This window comes from Homo sapiens, chromosome 1 (assembly GCF_000001405.40).
Source record: "Homo sapiens chromosome 1, GRCh38.p14 Primary Assembly".
NCBI classification, from domain to species: Eukaryota; Metazoa; Chordata; class Mammalia; order Primates; family Hominidae; genus Homo; species Homo sapiens.
In genome coordinates, this window is record NC_000001.11 from 107138660 (window position 1) to 107152780 (window position 14121).

Below are 14121 nucleotides of genomic sequence, written 5' to 3' on the forward strand. Positions count from 1 at the left end.
GAGAGAAGGGCAAGAGAGAGGAAAGGCTGAGAACTGTCTGTATTTCAGGATCTAGGCCAAGGGGCCAACGAGAAATAAGAAGGCCACTCTTGGTATTGTTTATTATATCCTATTGCAAAGGGCTCCCATAGAAAGAACTGGGATCTAAGGGCCTGTGAAGGAGGATTAGGTGGTGAGTAACATCTCCATATAGTCAGTATGTTTTAAACCTGGAGGAGCATGGCTAGAGACAGGGGGAAGAGCCAGACTTGGCCACTGTCTAAGAACCCTTGGTAGGAGTTTCAGCCCTGCAGGTAACTCTTTTTTGCAATGTCAGCACTACAGGACAAAGGTGGGAAAGAGGAAAGCACATGAATCCCAGATTCCTGCACTCAGAGATTCCGAAGGCGACTTATTGTGGCCTCTTAGGTGTTAGAGGGAAGGCTGGGGGTGCCTGAAATCCCTGCCCACTTCCTGGCTGCCCAGGGCCAAGGAGGGCCTGGTTATAGGCCCAACTCAACAAACTTCTCCCCCATCCATCCTTTTACCACACCACCCCCAGTCATCACAGAAAAATGACCCAATTACTCAGCCTCCTGCCTTAATTGTGGGACACATAGTGACTAAGTGTTCACAATTGCCCATTTCTTCCACCCCCCCCCCACCCGCCACTTTGCCTTGACCAAACATGAGTCAGGCTTCTCTCCAGCAGGTCCCTGGAATTTAGCTTGCCCCCCAAATCTGAGCAAGAACTAAAATGTGAAACATTCACCATTGTTAGCTTATCTTCCAAATTCTTGGACCACAGAGACACATTTCTTGTTCAACCAAGAGGGTCTTGAAGTGAGTTGTTTCCCCCATCCACTTGGCTTTGCCTATTGCTTGCTCCCCCTTATATATATAGAAAAAAAAGGCCGATTTCTGTTTGGTTTTGAGAGGTTTGCAGATTTCTGAGATCAGAGCGTTTTCCCTGTTGCAATAGTCTTTCTTTCTAATGGAAGTCTCCCTATCTTATCTAAATTCGGATTTGTTTCTGTTTGACGTTAATGTGTAGCTAAGAGTGATCCCAGGTGAGTCTGAGCCCGCCTTGGTGGGGAATGAAGCCTGGAGCATCGGAGCATTTGTCTTTCTCTTAGAAAAGGCAAGGAAGCCTGAAATGCGCAGCTCTCCCTTGAACTTCAACTTTTTAAAGGGGAATGAATTTCTAAAGGAGGAGTTTCCAGTCTAGGGCTGTAGGGGCCTCCGGGCAAAGGAAGTGCTTGTTGAAAAACAACATTGTGATCACTTCCAGCGGCGAAGGGTGTGCTTGGGAACGGTTTGGGGAGGGGACAGAAGAGAGAGGGGTGGGATGGACGGCGGCAGAAGTGGGAGGTACACGAGGAGTTACTGGAAACGGCGCTTCTGTGGAGGAGCCGGGGGGGATGGGGAGTAGAGGGAGGGGGCCCTGTTGCCTCAGCGCCCCGAGGTCGTGGAGCGGCAGCAGCTGCAGCCGGAGCAGCACCAGCAACAGCAACAGCGAGCGGGACGGAGTTAGGACCGCTCGGAGCGCACAGGTCTCGAGGTAGTATAAGGTTTGCTATCCTTCCACTTGCTGGCAGTTGCAGAAGAAGATCTGCTTTTTAAGTGAAACGTACATGCCACCCCTCCGAGGGCTGCGGCTTCCCCGGGCTTGCTTCTTTGCCGCTCCTCTTTCCGGCTCTCGCGCTCACTCTTTAATTGGCACTGGCCCCTAAGTTTGCCAGGAGCTCGCTGCCCGCTCGGAGCAGGGTCCCGGCCGGGAGCCGCTGGTGGGGGCGGGGAGTCCGGGAGCCGCAATCCAGAAGCGTCGTGGGCCATGTATATTTCATCAAACGGACTTTGGGTGCGTCGCGTCTCACTGCCATCAGTGCTATGTGCAGTGACATTTCTGACTTGAGTGGAGGAATGCGCGAAGGAAACCCGGGCGAAATTGGTATTAGAGGATCTTCTTGGCGCCAATGCTAATTGTCCTGATTTATGCCCCTTCTGACTAAGCTCAACGTCTTCATCTGAAATAAAATGAAAGCGGTGCCAAGCGGCATAGAACCGCCTGGCCGCTGGTTCTGATCCCCGGGAACCAGAAAATCGTCCTGCGGCTTGAAAAAAAAAAAAAGAGGAAAAAAAAAAGAAATAGAAATAGAAAAAAGAAAAAATATCCCTCAGTAAAAGTTTAAGGCGAGAAGTGTCAGAGGCAGCGGAGCGAGGAGGCGCGGAGGAGAGCCGGCGAGCAGGGGACTGGGCTGGCACGACCTCCGAAGGCTGAGATCTCATTATTAATATCACTATATTTTTGGAGGGAGAGGCACCTTTCTCATCCTCTCTTCCTCTCCGCCCACCCTTACTCCCTCCCCCTCATCTACCTGTCAAAGTCACTGATCTTTTGCATTTCGGAAGAGGACGTCAACGGGAAGGAATTCCCCCTCTGGGTGCGGGCTCCGAGAGGGGGCGACTTGCAGGAGGCTCCCCCCGGGGGCGGAGGCGAAGGTAATTAAGCGGCGGGGAGTGGCGGGCCGGCGCTGGGTTCTCGGTCCTCGGGGTCCTCTCCCGCCGGCGGCCGGGCGCGATCGGAATCCCCGGGCTGCGGCGGTGGCGGCGGCTCGGGTCCTCACGCCCACCCCTCCCGCTCCGCCCGCTCCCGCCTGGGGAGGAGGCTCCGCGGGAGCTGCCGCCCTCCGCCCGTACGCCGCCCGCGGGCTCCGCTGCTGCGGCCGCCGCCCGAGGCGGACCAGGCTGGCTGCGCAGGGCCGCCGCCCCGCGCCGTCGGCTCGGCTCCCGCCCGGCGCAAGGGCAAACGAGCCACACGGTAAGTGCCTGCGGCTCGCCTCTCCTACTGCGACCCGAGCCTCTCGCCCGTGCCCCTCTCCCCCGGGTTTCCCCACCCCCCGCCGCCCCCCGCCCCACCCGCTGCGATGCACAGGCGGGAGGGAAGGCTCCGGGTGGGCGAGGAACTTTGTAAAGCGCCCCGAGGAGGCAGCGCGCGGAGCCCTACGCGCACACACAGCGGCACACGCTCACACCCACACACAAGTCTTCCCGGGGGTGCGCCCCGGGCCGGTGATGCGTCCTCTTGTTGTGTCCGGAGCCCAGGCGTGGGGTCTGAGCCTCCATCCGCCGACTGACAGGGGCCCCGCGCTCTCCCTCTCTCACGCACACCTGGCCACACACATCGCTCAGGCGGCTTGTCGTTATTTTTTCTTTCTTTCGCCAATTATATTTGTTTGGGGAAAAGCAAACAAAAAAAACAAAAAAACACTTGCCCTATTGCCGGCCTTGGGGATCTGGTGGCCACATCGAGAGCTTTTGAAGTCCCTTCTTTTAATCGCCTTTATTGGTGCTAGATTAAAACATTACTATCCCATGTTGTGCAGCTGGGGAGAAAGGGAAATTGAAAGAGGAAGACTTGGTGTAGGGATGCTGTTTGGAATATTCTCTCATATTCTTTACTGGCATCATATTAATCGGTTGATGGATTCGGCTAGGGACACTGAATTGCACTCCTGTATGGATCTGTGGATATCTATATATAATACAAATAATACTGAATATTATTGGGCCTAAAATAACCAATTAAGTGATTCATACAAGGAAAAACTTAGATATAAAAAGAAACTGCGCCCTCTGCTGTTAATTTTAGTACCCTCACCCGGGGACTTTTTTTTTTTTTCCTTCAGAAATCCACTTAAGAGTAGGCTGTCATCTTACAGGGCAAGGGAAGAAAATTCCTAGCGGGGATTTTAAAGCAACTTTACTTGGAAAAGTCGCAGGTTGAGCTCCTATAGTTGCATCAGGTACAGATTTCCAGTGAGTAGACGGTCCTCCTCTCTCACCCATTCTTCTCTTTATACAGGGAATAATGGAGCCACTCCTCATAACAAATTGTCAATCTTTGGAATGGAAAATTCTGAGTAAGATTCAGAACTCCACTAAACATATGGTGAATCTGGCAGTAGAATTGCTCTAGAAATAAGGCCCTGTTTTATGACTGAAAATACTAAAAGTTGTTTTATCTTACAGAAATGAAAAAAAAAAAAACCCAGGAAGATCTTCCATTAAAATCACTTATTCAGATATGCTTAGTAGTTAAGCTTGTTGGAAAGTTTTCCAAAAAATAATTTTTTTTTTTTTCAGGGGAGGCTTTTCTGTTTTGTTTGTCCCTTGAGGAGGATCTCTAGTGAGGGAATTAGCAATTCCACATTTCATTAAGTATTTTGAACTGTGTCACTTTGAATGCCTTACCCGCCTCCCTTTCTCTTTGGCAAAGGAAAAGCAGCTCAGTAACTGTCCAAGATTCTTTTTGAAGATAAGCAACTTTCGATTTTTCATTAAGATAAAATTTGGATCTCTGCATGTGGATCAACATGCAAGGAAAAATGTGCATCAAGTATTTCACATGTAATGTTGTTCCAGGGATATATTTTCTTTTCTGGATGCCGTGAAATGAGATATATTTCACCCACTGAAGACCACCATGAAGGCATTCAGGATTCTATATACTGCACTACTAATTTGGTGGTATTTCCTTACTGTGGAATTTAAGACGGATAATCTTAAAACTTTTGCATGGAAACAGTTTATTTGAACATAAAGCTGGTTTCCTGTTAATATTTTTGTTTTGTCAGTTTTCAATGGGTATATGTGTTAAAATGATTCAGGTTAGCCTTTTTAGGAGGAGGCAAATGTATTTTGCAGTTTCCTTTTGTATATTTGCAAGTGGTGCAAATACCTATTTTTGCTTCCATTATTATTCTGAAAAATATTCAGGTAATTTGTTTAAAAAGTTAAACCATTACACATTTATTTGATAGGATTTCTAAGTGTCATAAAAATTTGGAGAGTTTTAGTTACAAAGGCATCAAGTCACTTGGAAAAAAGAAAATTGGATTCAACTTTGAAAACCAATTATATGTTAACATTGAAATATATGTGTGTGAATTATATTGTATAGGAGATTATATTAGTAAAGTCTTAGGTTAGTATGAGATTTAGCATACTTTAAAAAATAATTTTATTTGCAGAATCCAAAGTTCTGTTTCAAAACTTCAGGTAGGTGTAGATTTTCTCATATATGCGTTTGAGACCTTAGATCTCTGAACTTCCCTGCATGAGAATTAAATATTTGTTTTTCATGTGGTAATTAAATTCCAGATTTCTTCTAGGCTTAACTGATTCTGAAATAGTTTTGGGTATTATCCCATCCTCAATCATCCTGCAAAACATGTGCTATCTAATTTCTTGAATCAGTCTTCTCTCAATGAAAATAGAGATCTTTCAATTACCACGGTGTGTTATTTGGGTTTATTAAGAATCTCATGATAGACAGTTGCTCATAATACCCAATCAAGTGTGAGTAAGCTATGCCAATGATGTTGCAGTACATATTAAATTCCTTATATTTTGAGAGACAGTTAACAAAAGGATAGAAGCATATGTTTTCCATTAAGTTGACTAGAAAATGCTTTCTTCAGAACAAATAGCTGCAAAGAGCATTGAATACATGTTAAAATATCTTATGTAATAAATTTCATTATGACTGTTGGAAGCTGCTAATTTTGATAGGTTATAATTTTGTATATCTTTATCTTTTTATATTTTCACTCAATGATCTATATAGTCAATTTTCCTTTTGTTCCTTCCCATTCAGAAACATGCATATTTATAAAATTCTTAATGTGAATGAGGAATGAGTCAATAGTTGTGTATTTCAGGTACCCCTGAAAAGCTGAATATTTATGAAAAAAATAGCTTACTACCACCATTCCCACCTGCTAGTGAGATTATATAATAAAATGAATGCTGAAAACCAGCTAGATTAGGAGATTTACTGATAATGTCTTCCTCTCAGTTGATGAAACTGGCAATTGCTTTTGGAATATAATTGCCTGTAATATTAACCATTATTACTTCCATGTAATATTTTGGGAGGCTTTTTTTTTCTGGTGAAAGAAAGGGCCTGTGAAAATGGCTTCTGCAAAATTAATCCAAGGTGGAAGGGAATTAGCTGCAGAATCCTGGACAAATACATGTTTTGTGTGTGCAAAGGCATTTTATAGCCCATTTTAGTCCTGATCAATAATCTCTATCAACTTGAGGGCCATGACTTAATTTTACCTTTTATTATTGGTTCTGCAAATTTATACACCGGAGGTCTATGGGGTACTCACAACCTATTAATGGGTATTTTTATCAAAGGAGACTTCTCAGTACTTTAGTTCCCAAGTAGAGGTGGTAGCATTTTTGATTACAGTGAGTTCCCAAGGTCTGCAAAGTGAAGAGGTAGAACTGGAGCTGCCCAGAGCTCTTATGAATCTGTTCTTATTTAGGTGATACGGACACCTGAGACAAATTTAAAGGCCACGTCACTTCACAATTAGTTCAGTTATGGGCCAGAAGGGATAGGTTTAGTATATTAAGTCCCCAAATATGTTATTCACTGTCCTTCTCATAATTGGTTTCCCTAGCTATTTGCTGTGATGACCTAGCTTTTAAGAAGCTATTGATAATTTTAACCTGTTTGAAAGCACAGCAGATAGACACAGTGCCATTAAATAGTGGAGGTTAAGTTGTAAATAATATTCTATTTTTACATCATTGTATTTTCTTTGAAAACTCTGTAATTATACTTTAATAACAAATTCCTGATTTTCAGAGGCTGCTTTTCCATTGTGTGTCATGGAAGTTCATAGATTTAATTTCTTACTAATTTGAAGTTAAGAGGATTTCCTTTGAAGTATATGTGACACTGAAAAGTAAGAAGACCCTGAAATGCAGGATACATAACAATAGTACAAATATAAAAATTAGAATGAAATCAAATAATTATGTTAAATAACAGCTTAGTGTCCCTCTGCTCCTGATCTGTAATACGCCGTGGTCAATATCTTTTTCTGTGTCAATGGGAGCTCATTAAATGTAAACTCTGCAGACTAACTGAGCCATGCCATATTAGTGCTTGCCAAAGCTTGACATTTTTAATACATTAATAATATGTCTGTAATGTAATGGAAAACTATTAATCACAACTGGTTATGTGCCAGAAATTTAAGCTATAATTGGCTGCCTCTTGTCAAGAATGTCTGTTGCACAGTCCTGCAACTGCCTAATATTCAAATATCTTGCACTCTTCTGCATTTTTCCTTGTCAGTTCTCTAAATTCGATCAATGGTGTAGTCCATAATTCTGTGTAATGACCATCATTATAATCCTGGTATACTTTAATGAGAATTCGTTATATTGGGATTGCTGTTGTGTCAGGAGATAGCAAAGGGTTCACATATATTTCCTTAGTGTTCAAATTTTTCCTGTACAAATGTATGGTCACCCTTTATTTTGTGGTTGCAGTAATGCAAAATGTGGTTGAGGACAGAGTAACCGAGAATAAATGGATGAGGAGAATATCATTTGTTGGTTAAAAAAGAAAGTGAAGACTAATCTCAGGAAGCACTCAAATATATTTAAAGTGGTATTTTCAAACTAATATTAAAAATAAACACACAATGCTCACTCCATTCAAACTCAAAACAGTCAATTCCGGGTCTTCAAGATTATATCATTCTTGATAAATAAATTACTGTGTATTTGAAACTAAGAATTAAAGTTAATAATTTCTGACCTAATAGATTTTACACTGCTTCAGTTATAATGCCTCCATCCCCCGGCCCTTTGGAAAGTATTTGTTTCCTCTTATAAAAACTAGTAAACACAGTTGAAAAATTCATCTCAAAAATGTAAATTTGTATCATTTTAACACCTCAGATTATTAATTGTCAAATTGTTGGATGTGTCTGAAAATATCAACTTAAAATTACTAATGAATCTGAAAAAAAGCAGAAGGCTATAGTAGCCACAACACATGCTTCTCTGATTTTTTTCTTTTTAGCTTAAGATTTCAAAATGGGCTTTACCCAGTATAGTTTTTAGGTTACAAGGAAGAGGCTGATTCAAATCTGTAGTTTATACATATTTAGACAAACTACTAATTATTGCTTCATAGGAACTCAAATATTCAACACTTTTTCTATTAGAAAATATCACAAATTGCAGCTGTATGATAACATTTTATGAATTGAATATAATGAAAATTGCACTTGCATCCATAAAGCAATTATTATAAATTACTTTGCTATGGAAACACAATTCAACCATCTGTTGGCATTTCATAGTCTCTGTGGCTTAGTTCATTTTAAGATGGTACATTATTTAAATATAATGAATTCCCTTTATAAGATTGTTTGAAGATAGTGAACTTCCATATTTCAACTGTTTAATGTGAATTGAAGGGTCTATAATAGAATTTTCTAAAATTGTAGGCTTTTTTGTCCTTTTTGCATTGCTTAAAAATCAGTTAACTTTTAGACTATAAATATAAGCAATCTAATTAAGAAATTATACTTTTTAATACCTGGTTTCCAAATGTTAGCATTTGTTCAGATTTGGATAGTGATCTCTAAACAGAAAAGTGGCCAGTTAAACTCACCAATGACTTGTAGCCATAGTTATGTAGGATGCATTATCAGTTAATCAAAAGTACTTTTACACAGTAATTTTTATTTTCTCTTAGAATTAGTGCCATATTATTCTGCTTCATGGCCTGTTAACTCACCCTCGGCTATTTTTATGTGTGCATTTTAAATTGTGCGTTTTACTACAGAGCTTTTAGTTTTAAAGCAGCTTATAATATTCGCCTTTGGGACAAATTCTCTTCTGTTACAAAAAGTAACGGCAAATGCAGATGTAATGGCTATAAAAAGATGTAAAAATATAGAAAATTCTTATGAAAGGAAATTTTGCTCCTTTGGTTTTATTTTTGATTTTTTTTTTTCAGAGAGCCAACTTATCTTTATTACTAAATGCAACTAAACAAAAGATGCTAAATTCTTCCAATGTAATGAGCAAATCCACAGGGACAGGCTTATGCCAACAATGCGGATTTTCACTCCAGCAAAGAAAAGCTAAGAAAAGTACAAGGAATTTGGAGATTTTTAGGGTCTCTTTGCCAAGAGACAAAAGGGATATAAGTAGTTGTCATTTCTTTGTCATCATTATAAAAGTGCTCATTTACCCCATTGTTCTCTTGGAAGATTTTCTAGCACTGCAATGTATGAGAAATGTTCAAATCTAGCTGCTTGCTCTCAGTTTTGTCAAGATGGAAATATAATTTTTGAAGTGAAAACCTGTAACTCACGCACACGTGTCTGTCTTTGTTATGGAAGAGTTAAATCCTTCATATTAAAATTCTCCCCAATGTGAATGATTTCCATGGTTTGCTCATTCTAGCAAAGCAGCTGAGTAAAGGTTATCTGTATTACACCAATTTGCTTTATATTGCATCAGACCTCCAAAATGTCAACATATTGTACATTTCGTAATATATTGATTCTGGGACAATAACACTTACTCTTATTGTTTCTAAAAGGGTGTTGGTGCCAGAAGAAAAGAATGATTGATGGGAAACAGACACCGGGCTATAGACACTCATCCTTTTGCTTCAGATACTGATATCTCAGCCTGCTTGAGCATCCCTTGTGAGCTGTGAACATTGAGGATCACTCAGGGTTATCGGATGTACAACGGGAGAGCCATCGCTTTGCTAAATTATTATCTGCAATTGGACATCTTTTACAAAAACCAAACTAGACCTGAGTCTAATAGATATGTTCTAAGACAAAGAAAAAGCTGCAAGTTGTTAACGCCTAACACACAAGTATGTTAGGCTTCCACCAAAGTCCTCAATATACCTGAATACGCACAATATCTTAACTCTTCATATTTGGTTTTGGGATCTGCTTTGAGGTCCCATCTTCATTTAAAAAAAAATACAGAGACCTACCTACCCGTACGCATACATACATATGTGTATATATATGTAAACTAGACAAAGATCGCAGATCATAAAGCAAGCTCTGCTTTAGTTTCCAAGAAGATTACAAAGAATTTAGAGATGTATTTGTCAAGATTCCTGTCGATTCATGCCCTTTGGGTTACGGTGTCCTCAGTGATGCAGCCCTACCCTTTGGTTTGGGGACATTATGATTTGTGTAAGACTCAGATTTACACGGAAGAAGGGAAAGTTTGGGATTACATGGCCTGCCAGCCGGAATCCACGGACATGACAAAATATCTGAAAGTGAAACTCGATCCTCCGGATATTACCTGTGGAGACCCTCCTGAGACGTTCTGTGCAATGGTGAGGTAACCCTTTTGCATAAAATATTTCATATAAATAGGGTCTAATCGCATATGCATACAGATGTGGTGAGTGTGAAGACAATTCATGCAATAAGTTGAATCTGCAGGTGGCAGATTTGTGTTAACAGGCTAGTTTCTTTCTCAGTGGAGGCTTACACTGCCTGGAGTTACAATTTGTGCAGGGTGATTGATGCCCTGGAAGGAACTTACTTTCCGCTTCCCTGAAAACCTATAGTTTCACTGAGGCAGGTACACTATAGCATATATTATAAAAGAAAAAGTTCGATTGAAAGTTAAATTTTAGATTGGAGGTTGGAAATATGATTAGGTCATATCTGTCATGTTAAGGATAAAATGCATTGGCAAACCAACTTTAAAAACACAAATGTTTCTTCACATATGTGTATAAAGCCAGTCCTAAATTCTGTAGTTCAAGGAGAGACTAGATCTCATAATTATGTTCATCAGGAAGCTGCTATGATTTGGGAGTCCTTGGTTAGGAGATCAGCAAGAAAAAAAGTAGAGGAGAGAGGAACTAAAGCCTTGTGAGAAGTTTTTCCAGAAAAATCTTATTTGCCAACTCCCCTTATTGTCAAGGTCATAGTTTTCTATGTATATTTTAAAGATGACTTTTGGAATATAGAAAACTTATTTGCTGAAAAGCAAGGACTCAGCATATACAAATTCAGATACTTTTTTTTGATGAGCAAAGTTACAGAATTCATTGTTCTGAAGGCTTATATAAGTCCTTTTTTTTCTGCATAGAAAGTTAAATACCATGTGAAAAGGTAATATTGGAGTAACACATTGAATTTTTAAGAAAGACATGGCTGACAATATTTCTATAAGTATTAGTAAAGAGGCTGGTGATTAAAATAGTATACATTAATGTGCTAAAGAGTTCAGATGGTGAGTTCATTTGGTTTTTTTTTTAATTATAGGTGGTTTTTATTTGATAGAAGAACTGCGATCCTGTTTTTCTCCACATAACAGATATAATTGTATGGCAGATTTTAATAATAATCTTACCTGACTATATTATCTTGAACCTGGCCTGGCATTTTCAGGATAGTGAAACTATTAATCAAAGTAGCATCTGTTCACAGTCCCCAGTGAGTTAAATTAGCATAAGATCATCTTAGACCTAGCACCATAAAAAAGGTTTTGTAACAGGAAACAATTTTGAGCAATAAAGAGTGTTTTCACCTTAAAGCTAAGGGCTTGCCATTTTTCAGAAGTGCCTTTGGGGACTGGTTTGAATTATAGTCTAAACCTGATTTTGTGGAGAGTGAGAAAAAGCACTTGGCTATTAGGTGTCACTGTTACTAAAGTGCCCTGAAAGACTAAATATTTCAAAGAGAGGACCCGTCTCTATGGGAACAGGTATGTGCTTTGCAAAGAAGTTGCATTTTGGAAAGCAGAGAGTTCCAGAGAAGGAGTTTATTCAAACACATTAGCAAAATCATAATAAATCAGTACAGGAGCAGAGACATTTGTGGTGGCTTTATGTGAGGTCTTTAATAATTTCTCATGAAAGGTCAACTATAAGAGCTCATTACAAATCTGGGTTGAAATTGCTGTTTGGGTGATAGGTTGTATAGTCTTCTACGCCTTATAGCAGAGGATGAGTTCCAGGCCAAGTCTGCATATTGTTAAGAACTCTCTAGCTCTGTATATTGGTTTACATGACACTTGTAACAACATGTCCCTTCTGGAATTGTTTAATAATTTACAGATCTAAGTAAAATAGCAAATTTCCTTTCTCAGGGTGCTGTTTTCCCTCTCATAAGCCCTGTGTGATGTTTTCAAGGTGTGATTTGTGGGTGCAGCTTCCCTGATCTCAGTCTCTGGCCAGAGAATGCTTGCTTAGCACTGCTCCTGTCTGTCATGTTGAAGGGTTTACTTGGTGTCTTCAGCATGCCTCTTCCTCCCATCATGAGTGCAAAGGGCATGTTACGGATCTTCCCATGCCTGCCTTTCAAAGGGACATGGTCTAAGGTATTTAAACAAGTCCATTCCTCTCAGTCCATTGGCTAAGTGATGTTAGAGACCAAATGGGAAAAAAGAATTAAAATGATATCCCTCAGCTTTCTCAAGTGCAGTAATGTGTATACTATGTATGTTCACATGAAACTCCGTAGGACAGTCTTTAAAAGGCTGCATCTTAGTGTGATGCGGATATTTGGAAGCCCTGGTGGATGTAAACTTGTCATTGGACAGAATGGTTTTCCAAGGGAGAATGTAAGATTTGTGAAATATTACCTATCAATGCTTAATTTGTATTCCTTAATATGCATATGATAGGCATAACAAATTTAATAATCTATCCTTTAAATATATACCTTGTGACTATTTGTATGCATATTATATACCACGTCAATGGTAATGGCCTAATACAGCAACACATTCACTCTGCAGTTTTGGATGTTCCATAAAACTCTTTAGCATAAGGATTCCTGACAGAAGGTTGGGAAACTGTCTCAGGATGCTGTCATATCAAACCTGTTTAGGTACTCCTTAGCCCAGGGTGTAATGGGGATTCATAAAGTCATTTGTGTTATGACTTATGCGTTCTCCCCTCCTTGACGCTTGCATCCATACCTGCTCCCTCAGAGTCATTATGGCCTATTACATCAGGGGAGCTGCCACATGAGTACAGCCACTGCTTAGCCCCTATATGTAAATGTTTGCTGCAAAATTGTTTCAGTAATCACTTGTTCAGCTAGTGACACTCCTATTAGCTGTGGCTATAGCTGTTCTGAGCATCGAGGGAACATGTGCTGAGAGAAATACCTATAATTCCCAGGGCCAATTTCTTTAATATAAAGTTGAAGTTCATTGGCATTGCATTAAGAGTCCGTGTTGCTGCTTTTTTCATTGACTTCATCATTATAGGCCAGTGACTATCCATGAATGTTGCATTTATTTTAATATAGAGTAAAATTTCAGGAAAAGAAGGAGCATATGGATTCCATTTAACAATAGATCTCTGCTTATTAACCTGGATGGCATACTTAATAAATCTTCAATGTGAAGTACTTTAAAATTGTTCTATATTAATTGTACCAGTATTTATAAACATTAGTTTTTCAGGAGCACACTGCCATTTCTATTAATCATAGTGGATAAGGAAGAGGAATATATATATATGCACACACATATATATATACACACACATACATATATATATACATACATATATACATACATATATACACATATATACATACATATATACATGTATATACACATACATATATATAAATTGCATATATTGAAAACCATATATTTTCTTTTTAATTTGATATATTCCTTTTGAGTTGATGATGGCTAAAGAAAATCTCTGTTTTTGTCAATGGGGAAGAATCTGAAGGGAAGGTGGGGGTTAACCCTTTTTTTAGGCTGGGAAAACACATTTGAATAGATCCTATCTTTTCAGCCACATTGAAAGCTTCAGGTGGCAGAGCTTTGTCAGGAAACACAGATCATCTAGTGACTACAATTTGTTTCAATTTGCATAAAGAGCAGAGAGGATGATCTGAACCTGTGTGTAAAGCTGAAGTGACAACACAAAGCTATGACTTTTTCTTTGTGTTTAGACAAACTTAGCTGTCATATCTTCCCGCACACCCCAGTGGCTTAAAAATGGCAAAATTATCTGCAGTTATCTCTAGCCTGCAGCTAATTTTCTGGATAAGTTAAACAGACGCTTTGAAAAGGAGCCTACAGACGGAAGAACTCATGTGTGTTTATACAATTTATGGCTCAGAAGTGCTGATCACTGTAGAAATGGAAGCCCTTGAGTGCTGCTATGGATTTCAGAGCCAATCAAAACTAAATTAGGAAACAAAGATTATTAAAAAGTCTTCTGTGCATGTAATTTTGGCATAATATTATGAGGTGGACATTAAATGTTTCCCTTGGAGACGTTCAGCATCA

The 14121-nt window shown here is 39.8% G+C and overlaps 1 protein-coding gene across 18 annotated transcripts in view, besides 4 other annotated features; it reads left to right on the plus strand.

The window, feature by feature from the left end:
• The window catches only part of NTNG1 (netrin G1), a 344836-nt gene continuing 332143 nt past the window's right edge, over positions 1429–14121 (plus strand). For 7 of the 18 annotated variants that reach the window (XM_017000683.3, NM_001312688.2, XM_047449449.1 and 4 more), the window contains exons 1-2: positions 1429–1540; positions 9410–10180. In XM_017000683.3, coding sequence (XP_016856172.1) covers positions 9935–10180 — 246 coding nt within the window. In that variant the 5' untranslated portion in view covers positions 1429–1540; positions 9410–9934. Of the gene's footprint in view, positions 1541–2379; positions 2482–2675; positions 2801–3162; positions 3786–9409; positions 10181–14121 lie in introns of those variants that run through there. The other 11 variants (NM_001372169.1, NM_001330665.2, NM_001113226.3 and 8 more) reach the window with 3 other exon arrangements.
• Positions 2020–2551: an enhancer, noted in NCBI's record as "H3K27ac-H3K4me1 hESC enhancer chr1:107683301-107683832 (GRCh37/hg19 assembly coordinates)". NCBI's record gives its function as "activates a minimal SCP1, AML or CMV promoter by ChIP-STARR-seq in naive H9 embryonic stem cells {active_cell/tissue: H9 hESC(naive)}" and the evidence as "EXISTENCE:reporter gene assay evidence [ECO:0000049][PMID:30033119]".
• Positions 2020–2774: a biological region, named in NCBI's record as "H3K27ac-H3K4me1 hESC enhancer GRCh37_chr1:107683301-107683832".
• Positions 2485–2774: a silencer, noted in NCBI's record as "silent region_1129". NCBI's record gives its function as "represses an Ori minimal core promoter by ATAC-STARR-seq in GM12878 lymphoblastoid cells {active_cell/tissue: GM12878}" and the evidence as "EXISTENCE:reporter gene assay evidence [ECO:0000049][PMID:35858748]".
• Positions 2795–3074: a silencer, noted in NCBI's record as "silent region_1130". NCBI's record gives its function as "represses an Ori minimal core promoter by ATAC-STARR-seq in GM12878 lymphoblastoid cells {active_cell/tissue: GM12878}" and the evidence as "EXISTENCE:reporter gene assay evidence [ECO:0000049][PMID:35858748]".